Raw genomic sequence first — 23,674 nt, forward strand, 5'->3', positions numbered from 1 at the left:
TGGGTATCTTAATAAATCTAATCTAGAAGGAGAGAAAACTAGGTGAGGCCAAAACTGTAATTGGTAAAGAAGCAGTAGTCAGTCATATTGTAACTGAGCACCTCCATTTTTTTAAGAGTTAGTTTAATTATTTTTAATCATTTTATTATTTTCTCTTCTTGTTCCCCTGATTTTCCACTTCCTACTTAACCCTTTAGAAATGCAAATATAAGGCTGGGCACAGTGGCTCACATCTGCAATCCCAGCACTTTGGGAGGCCAAGGTGGGCAGATCACATGAGGTCAGGAGTTTAAGGCCAGCTTGGCCAACTTGGTGAAACCCCATCTCTACTAAAAACACACGCAAAAAAAATTAGCTGGGCATGGTGGCACACGGCTGTAATCCCCGCTACTCGAGAGGCTGAGGCAGGAGAATCACTTGAACCTCGGAGGTCAGGTTGCAGTGAGCCGAGATCGCACCACTGTACTCCAGCCTGGGTGGCAGAGTGAGACTCTGTCTTAAAAAAAAAAAAAAAAAGAAATGCAAATATAGCCTTTTACCTCTTCTTCACCAGACATTCCCTACAGGGCAAGTTCGTCTAACTATGTTCTCCAAGACAGAACTTTCTTTGAGAATTAACAGTGGATTTATAAACAAAAGCATGCCCACTAGGAAACTCACCCACCAGGGGGTTGCCTCGAGAGATAATAGTTGAAAAACATGCCTGCTACTCTCTCCTACCTGGGTAGTTTTCAGCTTAGTCCTGCCCATGAAGATGCCAGCTATCACTAGCTTGACCGCCTGGTAAGTAAGGCACCAAGCTAACATGCAGACTGCCACCTTGCTGGCTTCCTCCCCTGCTTTTTAAAAGTGCCCACTTTCTGTTCCCAAAGCAAAGTGGTACATTTAAAGGTGGGATGCCTGTGCTTCTTCCCCTAAGCTGGCTTTGGAAATAAGTCCCTTTATACCAGACCTCGCTCTTGTTAATTGGACTCTGCAAGCGGTAAGCAACTAACCCGCATTTCAGTTACAATATTAGCCAGAATGGGGGAATGTTAGGTCATTTTTATGATTTGAACAGTGCTCATGTTTCGTCTGTGTTCACACATAATTATGGAGTAGTCTTGTTTTTGTCTTGGTCCATCATTGGCCCTGAGTAGCCCTGTTGGGTATTGATGTTCTGTGAAGTGGTTTATGTCTAACAGAACACCAAGGCCCTGCTGTGCCAGGCCAGCTCCTGGCTGTCAGGGGCCTCTTTGCTGTTTCTCAGAAGGAAGGGCGATCCTTTTTTTCCCCTTCTGCATCTGAAGTCACCTCCAGCAAGTGGCAATAGCAGGTCCCTGCTAGGGCAGCTTCCTGGATTCTGCTCAAGCAGGGCAGAAGTTGAGAGTTTCCTAGTGGGCATGCTTTGGTTTATAAATCCACTGTTAATTCTCAAGGAGAGTTCTGTCTTGGAGAACACAGTTAGACGAACTTGCCCTGTAGGGAATGTCTGGTGAAGAAGAGGTAAAAGGCTATATGTGCATTTTTTTTTTGAGACAGAGTCTCACTCTGTTGCCCAGGCTGGAGTGTAGTGGCGTGATCTCGGCTCACTGCAACCTCCACCTCCCAGATTCAAGTGATTCTCCTGCCTCAGCTCTCAAGTAGCTGGGATTACAGGCATGGGCCACCATGCCCAGCTAATTTTTTTTTTTTTTTTTTTTTTTTTGTATTTTTTTGCAATAGCAGCAGCAGCTCAAAGCTTGGACTCTGGCTCCAGCAGGAGCAGCCCCTGATGACTGTAGGTCCAGAGCTCCTGCAGCTTCCACAGGAGTGCAGACTCCTGGCATCCCATAGATTGGGGCAGGCAGGAGTAGGGGTTCCATCAGCCCCAGCGATGGGCTCCGGGGAATATCAATTTTCCTTTTGCTTCCCCGGTCACATGGGTTTCACCTCAACCATCCCCTTTTGCTCTTCCATCACTGCTAACACTCTGAAACACCTAGAGTGGTTTCTGTTTTCCTAACTGGGCACTGATTGATAATGTCTCTTCATAACTAGTTCTGCCATTCAGTGTCACATGTCTGTGTCTGATTTTATGACCTCCTAAGTGACAGAATTCGGTTATTAATGGGGTAGTTTTTACATGGAGACCTTGAAATCCAATGATATACTGCTGGAACCTGTGGATATAGTTTTGAGTCTGTGAGCTCTTAAATGGGAGGGAATGTTGTTGTAGTCCTTTGGCTTCTGATGGTTGTGTGAATGAAACAGTCATTCGCTGAGGATCTTCTGCTCATATTGCTTCACTTGTCATGTCTGGCATTTCTCCTTTGTGGTTGACTTTCATTGCCTGAATACACAAACAGCTCTGCACTGAGCTTATCTCAGTCACAGTTTGTGTGAAAGGCATCTGTAAAGTCTTCCCAGCCAACTTCTCCAGAGAGGCAGATGAACTGTTACTAATCTGACAGTGATCAAACTGAAAGAATAGTCATCTGCCCATGCTTGAAACTGCCTTAAGTTTTGAACTCTAACATACTCAAGAATGTATCTTTTAGTTTACCAAATAGTGTGCCAAGTAGGCCCTACTTCAAGAAAACCAAATACACAAAGATGTGTATTCTTAAAGGAATTGATTAGGATGCATATTTTAAAATTGAGGTCCCTAAGTAGGTTTAGATGACATGATGTATACCAATGAGTTTTATATCTAAATCTCTAAAGATGTGGCTATGTTAAGAAAATCCATATAAAATGTCTTTTGTTGATGAGGGTTGGGGCTGGTGACTTTTTGAGTGACAGTGAGACGTGATAGAACTGCAGCTTCCTGGGCCCCAGTGTCACAGCCCAACAGGTTCTTATTGCCTGCTGCCCTGAAAAAAAACCAATTCACTGAAAACAGTAGATGTTGCAGCAAAGAAAGAGTTTAATAATTGCTCTCTAGCCAAGTGAGGAGAATGGGAGAAATTTCTCAAATCTGACTCTCCAAGAATTCAGAGGCTAGAGTTTTTAAGGATACTTTGGTGGGCAGGGGGTTAGGGAACTGAAACCATCAAAGGGCCAGGGATGAAACCACAGGGGTATCTAAACTGTCTTCATGCAACTGAGTTAGTTCCTGGGAGGGGGGTCTTAGGACTAGAGGCATCTCTTGGTCTGCTGAAATGCCAACTCTGAAAAATATTTCCAAGACCAGTTCTTTAGGTTTTACAATAGTGATGTTATCTATAGGAGTAGTTGGGGAAGTTATAAATTTTGCAACCTCTGGTTATGCACCTCTGGGGACAGTAAGCAACTTACAGAAAAACAAGATAGGCAGTGGCAGGTCATTGTTTATGCCTATTCTTTAGCAAAGTTCAAGCCTCTACCATAATTCTACCTTTTCTTGTGAATGTGGCGTCAATCTCTGAACAAGAAGGGGTATCAGTTTTCCTTGTCTCAAAGTTTAACTATCAACTAAATTCTTCTCATAGTTTTCTTGGCCTCCATGCTAGAATAAGCAAAAACAAACAAACAAACAAACAGAAAAACCTTAGCCTGTGGGTTAAAAGCAAGATGGAGTCAGTCACGTTAGGTTTCTCTCATTACTTATAATTCTGCAGTGGCAGTTTCACCAAGATAGGTAGGGAAGTTGTAAAGTAAGTAGAAGGCTTATTGGTCCAAAGGAAATGGTGGAGATAGGCAGGGGTGGATGTCTTTGCCAGGGTGGAGAATTTGTAATGTGGGATGATGCAGGTAAAGAGGTTGAAGTACAGGTATGTTGAATTGAATGAAATTAACTTTTATTGTTCTAAGGTCCTCACCTTCTCTGCAGAATTTTCTGTAATCTTCCATATCTGAGACTTCTCCTCTCCTCTCCCTCCCTGTATTAGTCTGTTCTCACACTGCTAATAAAGACATATCTGAGGCTGGGTAATTTACAAAGAAAAGAGGTTTAATTGACTCACAGTTCAGCATGGCTGGGGAGTCCTCAAAATCATGGCCGGAGGCAAAGGAAGAACAAAGGCACATCTTATGTGGTGGCAGGCAGGAGAACATGCACAGGGGAACTTCCTTTTATAAAACCACCAGATCTTGTGAGACTCATTCACTATCAGCAGAACAGCATGGGAAAACTAGCCCCCATGATTCAATTACCTCCCACTGGGTTCCTCCCATGACACATGGGGATTATGGGAGCTACAATTCCTGATGGGATTTCAGTGAGGACACAGCCAAACCATATCACTCCCCAACCCTGACTCTACCGTTCAGTTCCCAGCTAGGTAGTTAGAATTGAACAGAATCCTTTAGAATTCTCCTTTCTTATCAGTGCCCCTTCTATACCCGTAATGTGTTCCTGTCTTTTCAAGTCAAATTTCAGGCAATGTCTGAAAAATGAGCTTTCTCCTTGTTTGTCTGATCAGCTTTAAATAACGGATCCACAATTTTTTGATTTATCTGTATGGGATTCTCCAGAGCCTAGCTCACTGGTAGCCTAGACTGATCAAATAAGTAGAGATAGAAGAGAATGGAGCCCTTGTGTTTCTGGTTTTAGCAGATTCTGTTTTATTTTTATACCTGCAAACAAGTCTGCAATAGTTATTCTCTTGCCATGCAATGAATTGGTGTTTTATAAACACCACTAATCATGCAGATAAGACCAGTCATAGGCTGTTATCTCTTTTATTCATAGAAACTTCTTGGTAATGGATAGAAAGGGCTGCATTTTCAACAGGATTATGCTAGTCTGGGAACTTTGTCAAGAATCTTCCATCAAGGCATCTTAAATCTTTTTGGTTTCCCTCTTGGGCTATTTTCTTTGGCTGTTCAATTGTCTTCAACTGCAAAAGGTTATAAATATGGTTTAATGTGAGCAAGCCCATCCTTCAGTGAATTTCCCTCGCCTCCCAACAGTAGTTTATCATCTATCCCTTTCATTCCTGCAAATGAACAGAAGATTAAGTACTGGTATGAGGACAGACTCAGCATACAAAGCAAGAGACAGCCTCAAGACAGACAGCCTCTCTGAGATGCTGCGGCTTTGGGTTTCATGGTCTATATAGTTGGTTTGTGTTGATGCAAAAGAGTCAAACCCTGTAAGCTATTTGAAGGGATTTATTCTGTGCCAAATATGAGTGACCAAGGCCTGAGGCACAGTCTTAAGAGGTCCTGAGAACATGCACGCCAGGTAGTTGGGTTACAGCTTGGTTTTATACAGGGGAAACATAATACATCAATCAATACATGTAAGGTACACATTGGTTTGGTCTGGAAAGACAGGACAACTCGAAGCAGGGGCTTACAGGTCATAGGTGGATTCAAAGATGTCCCGATTGGCAGTTGGTTGAAAGGATTAAGGTCTGCCTGAAGAGTTGAAATCAGCAGGAATAGATGTTTGTAGTTAAGTTAAGGGAGGTTGTGGAAGCCAAGGTTCTTGTTATGTAGATGAAGCCTCCAGGCAGCAAGGTTCAGTAAATGTCTCTTATCAGACTCTTAAAGGTTAAATCTCTTAGTTAAATCTCTCCTGGATCAAGGGGAAAGACCTGGAAAAAGAAGGGGACTCTCTTCAGAATGTAAATTTTCCCCAGTGGCCCTGTAACGTTGCAGGGCTATTTCAAAATATGTCAAATAAATATATTTTAGGGTAAAATACTTCAGTTTCTTCCGGGGACTGCTATCTGCCATGTGATGCTATGCTAGAGTCAGGTTGGAATTTGGTATCTTATTGCTACAAAGAGACTGTTTTGTCAGTCTTAGGATCTCTGTTTTAATTTTAATGCTAGTAAGTTGTGCCTGAATTCCAAAGGAAGGAAAGTATAATGAGGCATATTGGATGTCCCCTCTTCTTATCATGACCTGAACTAATTTTTTAGGTTTACTTTGGAATGCCCTTGGCCAAGAGGAGTCCATTCAGTCAGTTGGGGGGCTTAGAATTTTATTTTTTGGTTTATGTTTGAGACCTTTTCTGCCTGAGGCAAGATTATTTTTTAGGATCTGTTGGGCAGGAAATTGCTTAAACTTTAGGTGGATTCAGTTAAAAATTCCCACATGAAAAAAATGCATAAAGTCAAGATGGAAACTGACGAAATGCAAGTACATTCTCTCCCATCCCCAATGTCTCTCTGCCAAATGCCTGCCAAATTGTCTACCTGATTAACAAGGACTTGGGGGGTTAGGGATATTTCTGGATGAAGCATGGTTAATTATAAAGGCCTTCTTGTTCAAGCTAATTTGCAAATGGACCAGGGCAAACAGGTGGATCACATTAACTCTGCTTTGGGCCATAACTCCTTTTTCAAGTTGTCCCTTGGATTCTGGACCCCAAGAAACACAGTCTAGGAGATGCTTCAAATAGACTAGTGTACTTCATTCCTAGAGCAAGCTTTTTCTCTGATTCCCTATCCTGGGTTGCTGAGCAGATACATGAAGGTCTTTCTCCTCCCTAAAGACTTCACAACAAAGCCATCCTTAAATTGCTAATCTTATGTCTTCACAATGCTAGATACACTCGTAGCTTCTCATAACCTTCAGAATTCCATAAAGTCCTGAAAAAATGTCTCATCCCCAAAGCCTCAAAAGGCTCATATAAAGGGCCCTTATCAGCAGCATCCCTCTGGCCCTTTAATCCTTGTCATGCCAGGTGCAACTTCCCAGTTCTCTGATGCTGGGCCTTGACCAGGAAGGAGGAGAGGGTCTGGTCTGTCCCATGCTCCTCAGGCCACCAATTAGCACAATGTCCCACCTCTGCTTGGTCTCCTTCTGTCTGGATAACAACTAACATTCCTTGTGTTTACCTATCTCTTTCTTGGTTACTCCCAGGGACTTCCTCTGTGATGGTTGGGAAATGAGAGTATTGTGTGGGGCCAAATTCCACTGTCATCTGGAGAGGTTAGAGTTTACATTAATCCATTCTCACATTGCTATAAAGAAATACCTGAGTCTGAGTAATGTATAAGAAAATAGGTTTAATTGGCTCACGGTTCTGCAGGCTATAGAGTATCCACTTCTGGGGAGGCCTCAGGAAGTTACCATTCATGGTGGAAGGCAAAGTGGGAGCAAGCATGTCACATGGCGAAAGCAGAAGCAAGAGAGAGAGGGAGGAGGTGCCACATACTTTTAAATGACCAGATCTTGCAAGAACTCACTTACTATCGTAAGGACAGCACCAAGAGGATGGTGCTAAATCATTCATAAGAACTCCATCCGCATGAGCCAGTCACCTCCCACCAGGCCCCACCTCCACTCCACCACTGGGGATTACATTTCAGCATGAGACTTGGGCAGGGACACACATCTGAACTATTCAGGGTGCATGATTTTATGTGACATCAGAAGCCTTTCAGAGAAGGAAGGTGAGTGGTGATGGTCAGACCTGTTGTCCTGTCATCCTCTGCATCCAAGGTGAAGGGCAAAAATATGGCAGCCCTATGCTACATAGGGTTAGAGTTGGGATTATTTAACCTAGCGATTTACTCTTCTACTATGCCTCCTTTGCTTATCACTTCCAAGTCAGGTGACATACCGTATCAAAACTTACTTCATCTATTCTAGAGAAAGGTTTTTTTTTTTTTTTTTTTTTTTTTTTTTTTTTTTGAGACGAAGTCTCGCTCTGTCGCCCAGGCTGGAGTGCAGTGGCGCGATCTCGGCTCACTGCAAGCTCCGCCTCCCGGGTTCACGCAAGAGAAAGATTTCTTTAAGTTAAAGTATAACACTCTGTAATTTGTATAAACCATGCTATGAAGATCAGAACCCTGTTTGATAGCTTTTGGCATTCTTGGGTAACTTAAATAAGAGTAGAGGCAGAGGCCATTAGAGATAGATATTATTGGTCATTTTGCATATTGTATTTTAGGAGAGTTATGCAATGTCAGAAGATTTTGCAAACCCCAGAATTACAAAAACAACCCCAGTCCCACCCCACTTATTTCGCACTTTAATCCCATAACTACTCATTTCTTTGTGTGGAGGTGGTGGAGAGAATTTACGGGGAAGTGTTAATTTGTCAGGGCTGCTTGCAGAGTGTGTTACCCAGAGCAGAACACACTGTTGCAATTGTTATTTGACTAGCTCAGATAGATGAAAAACAACCCCTCCTTTGTTCTGGAACCTAGGCTTTCATTAATGTCTCTAAAATAGCATTAACCTTTTGGCAGTCTCACTGAATTGTTAACATTGGGTTACTATCCATCATAACCTCAAAATATCTTTTGTTTAGCATTTTTATTGTTGGCGTTTGTTTTATTGTTTTTTAGTTGGTGCTCAGAGTTTGTTCCCCCTTCCTGGAATCATCTAGCTGGTCTAGATTTGGGTCAGTTTGGTAGTTTTTGCAGACCTCCAAGACTTCCATTCAAATAGCCTCAGGTAACAAGGCCAGTTCAGGTACGTGATGTGCTCAGTGGCTCCTTCAGTCAGTGGGAGGTGGGGTCAAGACTGTGACTACTTACTGGTAGGTCTTCATGAAGCTGAGAAAACCTGGAATTAGCTGTTGGCATTGCCACTTTGGGAAGAACTAGAGGGATACCAGGGAGCAGAGATTACAGGTATTACAGGTGTCATAAAAAAGTACAGAATATCTAAATGAACAAGATCACTCTTTTATTTGCAATTTTAGGTTGAGCCATTTTCTTGCTCACGTGGGCCTATTTTCTTTTCTACAGTGGGCCTACTTTCTAGGGTGAGGTGGATATGTCATCCTAGGTATTCAAAATAGCAAACCCTAAGTGGAGAGTGTGTGCATGTGTGTGTGTGTGTGTGTGTGTGTGTGAGAGAGAGAGAGAGAGAGAATGTGGGGAGGGATTTTCAAGTGCAGGTGTGGGGAGGGAGTTTTGAGTGTAGGTGTGTCTTATTTTTGTACTTTTACAGTCTCTAATACAGTGTCTGAAGTATGGAGAGTATTCAATAAATGCACATGTAGTGAATGATTATAAAGATGTCTCTAACTTCAGATACAGATCTGTCACTTGCCAATTCATGCTTTAATAACTTTTTAAAATATCTACCATAGTGCATAGATTTTTAGTCTTAAATATTTTTAAAGAAGTAGTGAAGGACTCTGGTAGCAACTTAAGGCAAACGATCATCTTTAAAAATTGCATATGAACAAACCGTTCTTTTTTTTTTTTTTTTTTTTTGAGACGGAGTCTCGCTCTTTCGCCCAGGCCAGACTGCAGTGGCGCAATCTCGGCTCGCTGCAAGCTCCGCCTCCCGGGTTCACCCATTCGCCTGCCTCAGCCTCCCGAGTAGCTGGGACTACAGGCGCCCGCCACCGCGCCGGGCCAATTTTTTGTACTTTTAGTAGAGACGGGGTTTCACCGTGTTAGCCAGGATGGTCTCGATCTCCTGACCTCATGATCCGCCCGCCTTGGCCTCCCAAAGTGCTGGGATTACAGGCGTGAGCCACCGCGCCCGGCTGAACAAACTGTTCTATAATGTTAAAAAGTTTTATATCATCCTTTTATTTGCTTGAATTTATTTTGCCACATCCCTTCCAATACATAATTTTAGCTTATGCTATAATACATTTTAATATTTATTGGTCATGCCATCAAAATTCCCTGTATCAAAATTACGAATGGAAATTGAAATTAAACATCTAAACAATTTCCTATGACCATAAGGCTCTAAGTGTTAAAAATTCTTCCGGATTGAATTATTAATACAATTCATTACTAGCATATATTTATTAAAAGCAACAGAGATGTATTATAAATATTGATAAGTCATTATTGAGTATTGTGTTATTTACGGTAGGGATGGCTGTTTAAACAAATCCCCAATTCCAGTGGCCTAACACAATGGAAGTTTATCTCTGGCCCATTTTCCAGTCTTAGGTGGATGTTCTAGTTGGTATGTGGCTCTCTGTCCAGTGATTCGGAGACTCAAGCCTCTTTTGATTTTATGGCTTCTCCATCCTTGAGCGCCTTGTCATCTTAGCAGAATCCAGCTGGAGAAGGAAGAGGATTGTATAGGGAAGACCTTCTTAAGAGCCTTGGCCTGGAAGTTCCACCCACTGTGACTGCTTCCTTTCTATGGGTGAGAAGTAGTCACATGACCATATGACATGCCTAAGGTCACTGGGTGAGCAGCTGCTTTCTAGGGAGGACTTTCTACTATAGGATGAGGCATGGGAGCTCACAGGTGGGCAGGCAGCCAACTACAACATAAAAGGGGAAGGTTGTTGTAAATACATTCTTTTAATGAGATGAATGCTTGCAAAAACATTATCATATTCCATTGATTAATTTTACTTATGGCCAAAATGTAATATGATTTAGTATCTATTCTATTTTTTCATTTTTATAGATACAAATACTGAGAAACCTTGTTCTCAGAAATATGGAGGTGGGAATAGAAATTATGTTTTAGAATTGTGACTCAATTCTTGGAATTCTAAGTAATATGGCAAAAGTGATATACTTATCTATCATTATCAGTTGATGACGTAATTAGGTCTTTCTGCAATGTTGTTGAAATCAAATAGTTGGAAAACACCTTATTTTCAAATGATGTTTCCCATTCATAAAGTGATTTCTTATTTATATTCCTGGAACATATAACCAAAAAACTTTACCAACATGTATTAAGTGACTATTAATTATACTGTTGCCCCTTTACTCACAGGCACCATATTTAATCAATAAGAGTGGGGAAAATTAAAATTTTACTTTCAGTATGCCTTTGTCAGTCCAATATTATCAAATGTCTTAATTGTCTTGCCTGCTTTGTAAATAATTTTTATCATTATTGAAATCTTAGAACTGCAGATTTAGCTTATTCAGTTGATGGAAAATATCTTCTATATAACCTAATGAGCAAAGCCAATTTCTTGTTGGCAAAGTATTCAGTCACATTAGGTTTACTTTCTTTATTTAATAAAACTAGAAAGGATTGACTTTATTTTTCAATATGTGTTTCAAAAAATAGTATTTTCCAAAGAACAATTAAGGAATAACTTAAAAGCACATCTTGTAAGATATATTACTACGAGCAATCAATAATGAAGTGATATATATCTAATAATTACTCTAATATTACTGCGATGTAAAGTGTGGCTAAAATTTGTTCTTTAAGAAGCTAGGTATATGAGGCATTTATTTGAAAAATGTGTATGTATTTGTGTATTAAACAGTGGTGGCTAGCTTTTTGAAATAATTAACAAATAAGAACCATGTATAAAGTCAGAAATTATTAATCACATTAGATATACTGATCAAACTTTCCTTATGTATTTAATGAAAGTGTATAAATGAATCAGTCTGACAGCTAGCATATAATTTTGTTTTTTCTTAAAAAGAGAGAAAAATATTAAACATTTTATAAGCTGAAATAAGGTAATGGCAGAATAATTGGAATAAATATTTCATAATATGATGTGTTATGTGATAGGTTTTAACTATATTATTGAATGAAACACACCAAATCTGAAAGATCACAAAAGGTTTTTATCTGCAGGAATGAGTCAGTGTACACTGGAGAATTCTGGTAGCTCAGAAAACATTCTTATCATGCTTAAAAGTATCAGCATCACTAAGATGTGCAGGTCCTTGGTATATATATGTCTAAAAGCAATCACTTAAATATTGAGGGAGGGGCCGGATCACGAGGTCAGGAGTTCGAGACCAGCCTGACCAACATGGTGAAAACCTGTCTGTACTAAAAATACAAAAATTAGCTGGGCGTGGTGACACACACCTGTAATCCCAGCTACTCGGGAGGCTGAGGCAGGAGAATCGCTTGAACCTGGAGGTGGAGATTGCAGTGAGCCTAGATTGTGCCATTGTACTCCAGCCTGGGCGACAGAGCGAGACTCTGTCTCAACTATATATATATAGAGAGAGTTATACACATATATATATAAAGAGAGTCTCAAATATATATATAGTTATATATAGTTATATATATAGTTATATATAGTTATATATGTTATATATGGTTATATATAGTTATATATAGTTATAGTTATATATAGTTATATATATAGTTATATATAGTTATATATATGTAGTTATATATATAGTTGTATATATGTAGTTACATATATATAGTTTTATATATATATATATATATAGAGAGAGAGAGGGTATATTTTCTGGGGCTCATTTTTATGTTTTCAGAGGACTCTCCCTCAAGAGTGCTGCTCTACTTGGCAATATTTGGGGGATGGAAGAGGTGAAACCCTTCACTGCGGTACTCTACAATATATCCAAATTCAGAACACTCTAGCACAGGCCAACATAGGCTCCGATGTCTCACTTAGCCTCACAGAAATATCTCCCAGACCTGCAGACACAGACAAATCCTAGACAAGCCTATGATGCTTTGATTAATCACTAATGGAGTTGTCCTTGAAGACAGTATTTTAAATTGTCCCTTTGACATCCTGCAGTTTTTTTACAGCTCAGGGCAATGCACAATAGTAAGATTCAGGATGGATAAGGATGTGTCTTTCTTTTTTGTCCAAAAATGCCATTTTAAAGAGAAGATGGGCAAGGAGACTGTATCTGATCATTCCAATCTGTTTTCAGGCAGATTTTAAGAATGACAGTCGAGGCACCTGGAAATTGATTCCCTTCCAAGTCTCTGTGCAAGGGGTATTCTTGCAAAATCTTAGCTTTTTAGTGCAATTTGATGCTCACTGGTATAGAGTCCCATGCAAGGCGATTGCTACCACCAGGTGGCAGCATCCTCTAGTTGTTGGTGGGCTCTAAGGCAGGAAAGAAACCCAGTTAAGTCTGTAACCTTAACAGCCTTGAACAAATGAACCTGAGCCAAGGCAGAGTGCACACAGACCCCATGAACCAAAGGAGACAAACCCACAACAGACAGAAGCTAAGGTGAATGTCTCTTAGTCTCATTTTCTGCTCACTTCAGCATGAACAGCTTGAGAGATGCACACTTAGCAAAACAGGATGAAGGTTAAAAGGTCCTCTGGAGCGGTAAGGAGGTAGCAGGTGATCTGTAGTCAAACTCCTAATTGTTCCTCTGAACCATTAGCACTTTTGGGCAACTTTTGTCTAGAACAAGTGCTAAATGTCACAGAGGTTTGTTCCCCTGCCCAGTGGTGCCCAGGCTGAGAGGGCAGGTTTAACCTGGTATCTCATCAGAACAGGGACAAAAGAAGACAAATCATATTGGAGCCACTCTCACCTGGCTTGGTCTTATTAGAGCTACCTGCTCTCCCCTGGGGTGATAAACAGTTGCATTTGCCTGATTCTTTCACTGGTTTAAAAGGCTGTGTGTCCTGTGATTGCAAAGTCAACTCAGACTGTTGACTTAACAATGTCAGAGCTGCCCTTCCTGTCCTCAAAGCACCTTCCTTCTTCCTTCCAGAGCTCACTGGGGTCTTAATGCTGTCAGAAGTATCCATATGGACTTAAAAATATTGCATCACAGCCTAGAGGTGACCAGCTCTATCACTAATGAAGAAGCAATTTAAGCTTTTGGGGCCCCAGTTTCCCCATTAGTAAAATCATGTGCATTGTGTACAAAGTAGCTGCTTGAGCGGAGCTTCATTATTCAACAGGGCTTAGATTTTTCTGGACTTTGCAGGAAGAAGTCTCTGCCCTTCTGGGTTTTGTGCTCTGCAGCTATGGACATGAAGATCACCCCATCCTCTCGGCAGTCCTCAGCAACATGAATGGCAGGCCTGTCCTAGGAAGAGATAGACATCAAGGCCACAATGCAAGCCATGCGCAGGTCATGGGTTCATGGTACTGTTGAGTTTTGACTCTTTACTGAGGAACTGAACTGGAATGAACAGCTTAGCAGGCATTATTCCTGGAAGGAACTTTCTAGGGAGGCTATAAGCTGGCTGGACCCCCAGACTCTGCTCTGTGTTCTGCCTCACTGAAAAACAAAATAGTTGTGACTAGCCCTACCTTCTCTTGGCTGACAGTAGTACCTGCTTGGAGCTGCTACTTGCTGATACCCACATGAGCCCAATGCCAGAATGCATAGCTAAAGTTCTGTTGCAAAGGGAGAGGTCATTCTTCCAGTGATGCCTGGCCTGCACTGGCAGCACCTATCCCACAGTGGCCCTCTGGCCTTCCCCAGGCTACCAGAAGCTGTGTCTGCCCTTCACAATTCTTCTGGGTGCTCAGCTCCTTTGGCTCAGAAGTTCACTACCTCTACCCTCTAAACTCCTGGCTGGAAACCTTAATCCCTTTCTCTATGTCCTCCACTTCACTCTGAACTTCTACCAGTATGGCTAATGGCTTTTTCAGCCACCTATCCTTCCTGCCACTCCTCATCCTGAATTTCAATCAGATCATCTACTTGTGAAGTAGTGTTTTCAGATATAGGTGCAGGGAAGCTTCTTTTATATTATCTTTCATGGGTATCTCATACTATTGTTCTTACCAACACAATATAGTCTTTATTCCCATTGACAAAGTCAATTACAAGGGCATAAACACGATTTATTTCTTTTCCAAGGGTCCCAGTGCTTCACCAACACCAACGCCACCACTAAGGGTTCCAGTGTGATCACCATCTGGGATCTACCTGTTCCAACTGCTTGTTTACCTCCTGTGCATGCTCCACGGGACATGGCTCTTTGCCTGTAGATCGCCAGGTACCCACAGCTTTACTGCCATGGTGCACTTCACTTCCTGCCTTGTCCACTCTCACCTGCACCAGTTATTGCTTACGTGGTAATCAGTATAGTCATTGATCTTCAGGGACCATCCAGCTACCCGATTTCCAATGTGGCTGCCTTTGCTATCTTGTTTTGGAAAATGTCTTAAGGCTGTTGAAGATTATATCTATTTGATCCTTTGTGCCCTTAGATGGAGAAAAGAAATGTATTGAGTAGAAGCTCTGAAAGTTTGGAAGGTCCCTCACACCATCCTCAGGTTCAGAGTTTCACTAGATGAAGTCACAGAACTCAGCAAGCCAATTTACCCATGGTTACAGTTTGTTAGAGCAGAAGAATACATTTGAAAATCAACAATAAGAAAAGGTACAAAAGGTAAAGTCTAGGAGAGACCAGGAATGGAGCTTCCCACTTGTCGCTCCCCAGTGAAGTCATACAGACTGCACTTATCTCTCCCCGCAACGATGTGTGACAATATGCCTAGGGTATTGCCAACTAGGGAAGTTCACTTGAGTCTCAGTGTCCAGAGATTTTATTGAGGAATCAGTCACATAGATATGGCTAGCCACCATACGACTGACTTTGATCTCTAGCCCCTCCAGAGATAAAGCTGATGTTGTGTTGTCCAAGGACCTCACCATAAATCTTATGGTTAGTACAGACTATCTGGCATGGCCCAAGGTCCTAGGTTTATAAAGACACTTTTGAAAGCCAGGACATTCCAAGGGCTTAAATGTTACCTTCCAGAAACTGGGGGTAAAGAGCCAAAACTTTCTTTGGGTTAATCCTTTACTGCATAAGCTCTAAGACCCCAATAATTCATGGCCCTATTTCTGGGGCATGATTCAGCCCAGAGAAGAGATCGGAGAAACCTACCTCCCATCATCAAAGAGCTCCTGGATGTTCCATCAAGCAAAACTGTGGGAGGAAATTCAGTGTTCCTATGGAGATGGTGGTGTGACCTGAGCTGGCTCAGAGGTTCTAAAAGCTTCTTCTCAAACATTGGCAAGGTCACAGGTACCCAATAAGGTACATCTTCCCTTTCCTTCAACAGTCCAAAACCTCCAGAACTCTCTCGAGGCAGTGATTAATACTAAACAAAGGACTTGAAGGATAGGAGGGATTCTGAACAGGGTAGAAATAAATAGTAGTGTGGGATATTCGTATAGTTTTCTTGGAAGAGGTAATATTTGAGTAGGATCTTGAAAAATGAGTAGACGTGTAAATGCCACAAGTAAAGGCAAAGATATATACATCATTGTCGGAATAGGAAAGAGTGTGGCACATCTGGGAATGATGAGGGGCCTTATGCAGCTGGGGGAGTCTATTGGTCAGACATGAGGCTGGAAATGGTGCAAGGGCTAGATAGGGAAGGGCTTCATATGCGATGCCAAGAGGCACAGACTATGCTGTGATTCCCTGGCAGTATAGCTGGTGGGACAAAGAGAAATCAAACTCAAAAAGTTCCCCTCTTGTCTACCATGTGTATACTCAAGTAGGTGATGAGATTGTAGGAAGAAGGTAGGATATAATAGCAGATAATTGGGTAGCCATATAGAAAAATCAAATAAAATTTGACCTTTACCTTATAAAACATATTTTTAAAAACCCAGTCTGGGTGTGGTGGCTCATGCTTGTAATCCCAGCACTTTGGGTGGCCGAGGTGGGAGAATCGCTCGAGCCCAGGAGTTTGAGACCAACCTGGGTAACATAGTGAGACCTCATCTGTATAAGAAATGAACAGCAGAGGGGCGAAGATGGCCAATTAGAAGCAGCTGCAGTCCGTGGCATTCACGGAGAGGAATGAAAGGCGTGAGTGAATACAGCACCTTCAACTGAAATATCCAGGTTCTCACATTGGGACTGATTAGGGAAACAACTTAACCATGGAGAATGAAGAAGAGCAAGGTTGGGTGATGGCCCACCTGGGAGTGACACAGAGCTAAGGGAAGTGGTGAGTGATTGTGTGACCCTGGAAAAACATGCTTCTCCCACGGATCTTTGCAACCTGTGGATCAAGAGATGCCCTTGTGAGCCCACACCACCAGGCCCTGGGGCTGACACACAGAACTGTGTGGAGTCTTGGCAGAGTAACTGCTCAGGCATGCACAGAGACCCAGCAGCTTTATATACTCTGGCCCTGGGATCCCCATCAGATGTGTCTAACTCAGGCAAGGTGAGAGGTCCGCACCTACCCCTAGGAAGGGGGGCAGAATCCAGGGAGCTGATTCTGTGGGTCCCACTTCCACAGCACCTCACAAATTCTTGGGGCTCCATCCCATCTCAAGCAGGCTCCACCCAGTTGCCGGTGGCTGGCTGGAATGTCAAGCCAGTGGATCTTACTTTGTGAGGTGCTGCACCTGGGAAGGTGGCTGCAGCTGCACCTGGGGAGTTCCCATCCCACCCTGCTGGAAGGAGCAGGACTCCTGCTTGTCTCTGGCTCCTGCCTGCTCCCTGGAGTGGAAGGCCCAGGTCTGCAGTCACTGGTTGGGTGCCTGCAGCTGCACCCAAGAGGGCAGATCCTGCCTGTTCCTGGCAACCTCGAAGAGCACAGGTAGGCTCAGATCCACAGCCACAGTTTGGGCAGGGGTCCATTCTGCTCCCTAGAGCGGGAGGCCTGGGTCTGCAGCCACACTTTGGGTAGCTACAGTGGCACCTGGGGAGCTGAACCCCCAACTTAGAAGGGGCAGAGCTCCCACTGGCTTCATGGAGTGTGCAGTGCCAGCCGCAGCCAGTGTGATAGCAGCAGCCTCTGCCATCATTAGGTACTATTTATTATCTTGATTTTACAAATGATAAAACAACTGTTGGATTTCAGCCCAGGTCCACCAGAATCCACAGTCTTCATTTAACCCCCATGTTCTACAACACTAGACCAGGGGAGAAATTTGCACAGAAAGTAGTATGAATAATGGAGGCTGGGAATCAGAGAAAGTAGACAGAGAAAACAGGCTTAAAGGACTGAATGAATTACAGATAACCTGTATTTTCCAAGGGCTGGGGGCTGGAGGGAGGAGCAATTAGATTTTAATGGGTACGGAGTTTCAGTTTTGCAAGATGAAAAAGTTCTGAAGATCTATTGTCTAACAATGTGAATACATTTAATACCACTGAACTGTACACTTAAAAATGGTTATGAGGGTAAATTTAATGTTATGTGCTTTTGACCATAATAAACAAAACAAAATAACTTGTATTCACTCTCTGCAGGTGAGGGGCCACTTTTCAGAGCACTCTCCTCATCTCTACCTCACTAGGGCTTTGCAGCAAAAAGTTTGTCTGATCATTTTATGTTATTATATGCTACATTGTTCCTCATTGAGTATATGCTGCTGCTTCTTTGACTATATGTCCTCCTGCTTGGAGGTTTGGCTTTTCATTCTCTAAAAGGGGTATTTTGATGAATAACAGTTTTTAAATTTTTTTATTTTCAAGATGGAGTCTCACTGTTGCCCAGGCTGGAGTGCAGTGGTGCGATCTCAGCTCATTGCAACCTCCGCCTCCCAGGTTCAAGCAATTCTCTGCCTCAGCCTCCCGAGTAGCTGGGATTACAGGTGTGGGCCACCATGCCTGGCTATTTTTTTTTTTTTTTTGTATTTTTAGTAGAGACGGGGTTTCACCATGTTGGCCAGACTGGTCTTGATCTCCTGACCTCATGATCCACCCGTCTCAGCCTCCCAAAGTGCTGGGATTACAGCCGTGAGCCACTGTGCCTGGACTTTAAATTTTAATGTAATATAATTTATCAATCTTTTTTGTTTATGGCTAACACTTTTCTTTTCTTTCTTTCTTTTTAATCTTTTAATCTTTTTTTTTTTTTTTGAGACAATGTCTCGTTCTGTCACCCAGGCTGGAGCACAGTGGCACCCAGGCTCACTGCAGCCTTGAATCCTGGGCTCAAGCGATTCTCATGCCACAGCCCCCTGAGTAGCTGAGATGACAGTTGCATGCCACCATGCCTGGCTAATTATGGCTTCTACAAAATGCCAAACATTCTCTGCCCCCAAATTAGGAAGAGAGTCTCTTGCATTTCCACTAAAAGCTTTAGAATTTTGCCTTTTATATTTAAGTCTATAATCCCCCTGGATTGTTTTTAGTGTTTTAGAAAGTAAGGGTCCAATTTTATTTGATTTTTCCATATGACTACCCAATTATTTCAGTTTCTTATTGAAAAGATTATATGTCCCCCTCTGCTTTGCAGTCTTATATTTGTCATGAATCAAATATCTACATATGTGTCAATCTGTTTCTAGACTCTTTATTTCCATTCATTAGCCTATTTGTCAATCCCTGTGCAAATACTACAGTGACGTGATAATTGAACCTTTATAAGTGTTGACATTTTGTGGGACAAGTCCTCTCACTTTGTCACTTTCATGGGTGTCTTGGCTATTCTTAGCTGTTTGCATTTCCGTGAAAATGTTAGAAACATCTAATGAAATTAAAATACACACACACATGCACCTGCACACACACACACACACACACACACATACACACACACAAGTATTATAACCCTGTTCAGATTTTCCCTGGGATTACATTGAATCCATAGGTTGATTGGGGGAGAAATGACATCTTTGCAAGACAGTTTTCCAATCCATTCCTTTCCATTTACCTGAGTCTTCTTTCAGTTTCTCTCAATAAAGTTTTATATTTCTGTTCATGTGAGTTTATACATCTCTTCTTGTCTGGATTCCTACATACCTGATACTTCTTGATGCTATTATAAGTAGAATTTTTTAAATTTTCATTTTCTGTTTGTTGCTGGCATATAGAAGTAAAATTGATTTTGTTTTCTGACAATTTTGCTAATCTTTCTTAATTATTAAAAATATTAAAATTAACTTTTAATGATTCACCTACGGTACTTCTGGGCAGTCTGTGAGCACAATCATAATATCTGAAAATATAGGATTTTTTTCCATTCCAATCTTTATATATTTTATTTCTTATCTTACCATTTTAAACTGGCATGATGCCCAGTAAAGTGATGAATAGGACTGGTGATAGTGAGTGAATATTTTTGTCTTTTTCCCAATCTCAGAAGGAAAAACCTTCAGTATTTTACCATTAATTATGATGTTTTCGGTAGCCTTTTCTTTCTTTTTGGTCTATCTCTTTAGACAATAGGGAAGTAATAAAAGGGAAGTCTGCTTTTATTCCAAGTATACTAAGAGCTTATCTTTAACCATTAATGAATGATGAATTTTATAAATGTTTTATTCTATTTTTTGAGATGATCATATTATCATGTTATTTTTCTCCCTTAATCTGTTGACAAGGAGAATTATGTTTTTTTTTTTAAGACGGGCTGAGTAGTATTCAATTTTGTATATACATATACCACAGTTTCTTTATCCACTCGTTGATTGATGGGCATTTGGGTTGGTTTCATGATTTTGCAATTGCAAATTGTTCTGCTATTAATATGCATGTGCAAGTATCTTTTTTGTATAATGACTTCTTTTCCTCTGGGTAGATACTCAGTAGTAGGATTGCTGGATCAAATGTAATTCTAGTTTTAGTTCATGAAGTAATCTTCACTCTGTTTTCTATAGTGGCTGTACTAGTTCCTACCAGCAGTGTAAAAGTGTTCCCTGATCACCACATCCCCACCAACATATACTGTTTTTTGGTGTTTAGATTATGGCCATTCTTGCAGGAGTAAGGTGGTATCACATTGGGTTTCGATTTGCATTTCCCTGATCATTAGTGATGTTAAGTATTTTTTCTATGTTTGCAAGCCATTTGTATATCTTCTTTTGAGAATTATCTATTCATGTCCTTAGCCCACTTTTTGATGAGATTGTTTTTTTTCTTACTGATTTGTTTGAGTTTGTTGTAGATTCTGGATATTAGTCCTTCGTTAGATGTATAGATTGTGAAGAATTTCTCCCACTCTGTGGGTCGTCTATTTACTCTGCTGACTGTTCCTTTTGCTGTGCAAAAGCTATTTAGTTTAATTAAGTCCCAGCTATTTATCTTTGTTTTTATTGCATTTGCCTTTGGGTTCTTGGTCATAAAATCCTTGCCTAAGCCAATGTCTAGACGGGCTTTTCCAATGTTGTCTTCTAGAATTTTTATAGTTTCAGGTCTTAGATTTAAGTCCTTAATCCATCTGGAGTCGATTTTTGTATATGGTGAGAAGTGAGGATCCAGTTTCATTCTCCTACATGTGGCTAGCCAATTATTCCAGCACCATTTGTTGAAAAGGGTGTCCTTTCCCCACTTTAAGTTTTTGTTTGCTTTGTCGAAGATCAGTTGTCTGTAAGTATTTGGGTTTATTTCCGGGTTCTCTATTCTGTTCCATTGGCCTATGTGCCTGTTTTTATACCAGTACCATGTTATTTTTGGTGATTATGGGCTTATAGTATAGTTTGAAATCAGGTAGTGTGATGCCTCCAGACTTTTTCTTTTTGCTAAGTCTTGTGTTGGCTATGTGGGCTCTTGTTTGGTTCCATATGAATTTTAGAATTGTGTTCTCTAATTCTGTGAAGAATGATGGTGGTATTTTAATGGGGATTGTGTTGAATTTGTATATTGTTTTTGGCAGTATGGTCGTTTTCACAATATTGATTCCACCCATCCATGAGCATGGGATGTGTTTCCATTTTTTGATGTCATCTGTGGTGTCTTTCAGCAGTGTTTAGTTTTTCTTGTAGAGGTCTTTTGCCTCCTTAGTTGGGTATATTCCTAAGTTTTGTTTTGTTTTTGCAACTGTCATAAAAGGGGTTGAGTTCTTGATTCGATTCTCCACTTGGTTGCTGTTGGTGTATAGAAGAGCTACTGATCTGTGTACATTAATCTTGTATCCAGAACCTTTGTTGAATTCCTTTATCCATTCTAGGAACTTTCTGGAGGAGTCTTTAGGGTTTTCTAGGTAAACAATCATATAATCAGCAAACAGTGACAGTTTGACTTCCTCTTTACTGATTTGGGTGCCCTTTATTTCTTTCTCTTGTCTGATTGCTCTGGCTAGGACTTCCAGTACTACGTTAGGGAAGAATGGTGAGAGTGGGCTTCCCTATCTTGTTCCAGTTCTCAGAGGGAATGCTTTCAACTTTTCCCTATTCAGTATTATGTTGGCTGTGGATTTGTCATGGACGGCTTTTATTACATTGAGCTATGTCACTTGTATGCTGATTTTGCTGAGAGTTATAATCATGAAGCAATGATGGATTTTGTCAAATGCTTTTTTCTCCATCTGTTGAGATGATCATGTGATTTTTGTTTTTAATTCTGTTTATCTGGCGTATCACATTTATTGACTTGCGTATGTTAAACCATCCCTGCATCCCCAGTATGAAACCCACTTGATCATGGTGGATTATCTTTTTGATATGTTGTTGGATTCGTTAGCTAGTATTTTGTTAAGGATTTTAGCATCTATGTTCATCAGGGATATCAGTCTGTAGCTACCTTTTTTGGTTAAGTCCTTTCCTGGTTTGGCATTAGGGTGATACGGCTCCATAGAATGAATTAGGGAGGGTTCCCTGTTTCTCTGTGTTGTGGAAGAGTGTCAAAAGGATTGGTACCAATTCTTCTTTGAATGTCTGGTAGAATTCTGCGGTGAATCCATGTGGTTTTGGACTTTTTTTTTAATTTTTAAGTTACCATTTCAATCTCACTGCTTGTTATTGGTCTGTTCAGGGTATCTATTTCTTCCTAATTTAAATTAGGAGGGTTGTATTTTTCCAGGAATTTATCCATCTCTTCTAGGTTTTCTAGTTTATGTACATAAAGGTGTTCATAGTAGCCTTGAACCATCTTTTATATTTCTGTGGTGTCAGTTCTAATGTCTCCCATTTCATTTATTATTGAGGTTATTTGGATTTTCTCTCCTCTTTTCTTGGTTAATCTTGCTAATGGTCTATCAATTCTATTCATCTTTTCAAAGAACCAGCTTTTTGTTTCATTTATCTTTTGTATTTTTTTTTTCATTTCAATTTCATTTAGTTCTGCTCTGATCCTGGTTATTTCCTTTCTTCTGCTGGGTTTGAGTTTGGTTTGTTCTTGTTTCTCTAGTTTCTTCAGGTGTGGATGTCAGTTAGAATGTCAGTTTGTGCTCTTTCAGTCTTTTTGATGTAGGTGTTTAGGGCCACAGACTTTCTTCTTAGCCACACCTTTGATAGGTTTTGTCATTATTGTTGTTCAGTTTGAAGAATTTTTCAATTTCCATCTTGATTTTGTTTTTGACCCAGTGATCACTCAGGAGCAGGTTATCTGATTTATGTGTATTTTCATAATTTTGAAGGTTCCTTTTGGAGTTGATTTCCAGTTTTATTCCACTGTGGTCTGAGAGCATGCTTGATATAATTTCAATTTTCTTAAATTTATTGAGGCTCGTTTTGTGGCCTATCATATGGTCTATCTTGGAGAAAGTTCCATGCGCTATTGAATAGAATGTGTATTCTGTGATTGTTGGATGAAATGTTCTGCATATATTTGTCAAGCCCATTTGTTCAAGGGTATAATTTAAATCCATTGTTTCTTTGTTGACTTTCTGTCTCGATGACCTGTCTTGATGACATCTAGTGCTGTCAGTGGAGTATTGAAGCCCCCACTATTATTGTGTTGCTGCCTATCTCATTTCTTAGGTCTATTAGTAATTGTTTTATAAATTTCGGAGCGCCAGTGTTTGGTGCATATATGTTTAGAATTGTGATATTTTCCTGTTGGACAAGGCTTTTTACCATTATATAATGTCCCTTGTTGTCCTTTTTAACTGCTGTTGCTTTAAGGTTTGTTTTGTCTGTTGTAAGAATTGCTACCCCTGCTTACTTTTGGTGTCCATTTGCATGAAATGCCTTTTTCCACCCTTTCAGTTTAAGTTTATGTTTGTCCTTATGTGTTAGGTGTGTCTCTTGAAGGCAGAAGATAGTTTGTTGGTGAGTTCTTATCCATTCCGCAGTTCTGTATATTTTAAGTGGAGCATTTAGGCAATTTACATGCAATGTTAGTATTGAGATGTGAGGTACCATTCCACTCATCATGCTATTTGTTCCCTGTGTACCTTGTTTTTTTTGTTTTGTTTTTGCTTTTTAAATTGTATTTTTGTTTTATAGGTCCTGTGAGATTTATGCTTTAAAGAGGTTCTGTTTTGATGTGTTTCCAGGATTTGTTTCAAGACCTAGAGCT

General features: G+C 40.7%; 1 protein-coding gene across 2 annotated transcripts in view, besides 3 other annotated features; it reads left to right on the plus strand.

The window, feature by feature from the left end:
* The window catches only part of TMED3 (transmembrane p24 trafficking protein 3), a 102,775-nt gene that overhangs the window by 57,483 nt on the left and 21,618 nt on the right, over nucleotides 1-23,674 (plus strand). Inside the window, exon 3 of one of the 2 annotated variants that reach the window (NM_001301203.3) lies at nucleotides 14,374-16,145. The exons of the other annotated variant lie outside the window; for it this stretch is intronic. Within the exon in view, the coding sequence (NP_001288132.1) occupies nucleotides 14,374-14,424 (51 nt within the window). The 3' untranslated portion in view covers nucleotides 14,425-16,145. Of the gene's footprint in view, nucleotides 1-14,373; nucleotides 16,146-23,674 lie in introns of those variants that run through there. 2 annotated transcript variants of the gene reach the window in all.
* Nucleotides 5,028-5,673: an enhancer, noted in NCBI's record as "OCT4-NANOG hESC enhancer chr15:79665964-79666609 (GRCh37/hg19 assembly coordinates)". NCBI's record gives its function as "activates a minimal SCP1, AML or CMV promoter by ChIP-STARR-seq in primed H9 embryonic stem cells {active_cell/tissue: H9 hESC(primed)}" and the evidence as "EXISTENCE:reporter gene assay evidence [ECO:0000049][PMID:30033119]".
* Nucleotides 12,533-12,582: a silencer, noted in NCBI's record as "silent region_6723". NCBI's record gives its function as "represses an Ori minimal core promoter by ATAC-STARR-seq in GM12878 lymphoblastoid cells {active_cell/tissue: GM12878}" and the evidence as "EXISTENCE:reporter gene assay evidence [ECO:0000049][PMID:35858748]".
* Nucleotides 12,673-12,882: an enhancer, noted in NCBI's record as "active region_9932". NCBI's record gives its function as "activates an Ori minimal core promoter by ATAC-STARR-seq in GM12878 lymphoblastoid cells {active_cell/tissue: GM12878}" and the evidence as "EXISTENCE:reporter gene assay evidence [ECO:0000049][PMID:35858748]".

Source organism: Homo sapiens, chromosome 15 (assembly GCF_000001405.40).
Source record: "Homo sapiens chromosome 15, GRCh38.p14 Primary Assembly".
Classification (NCBI taxonomy): domain Eukaryota; kingdom Metazoa; phylum Chordata; class Mammalia; order Primates; family Hominidae; genus Homo; species Homo sapiens.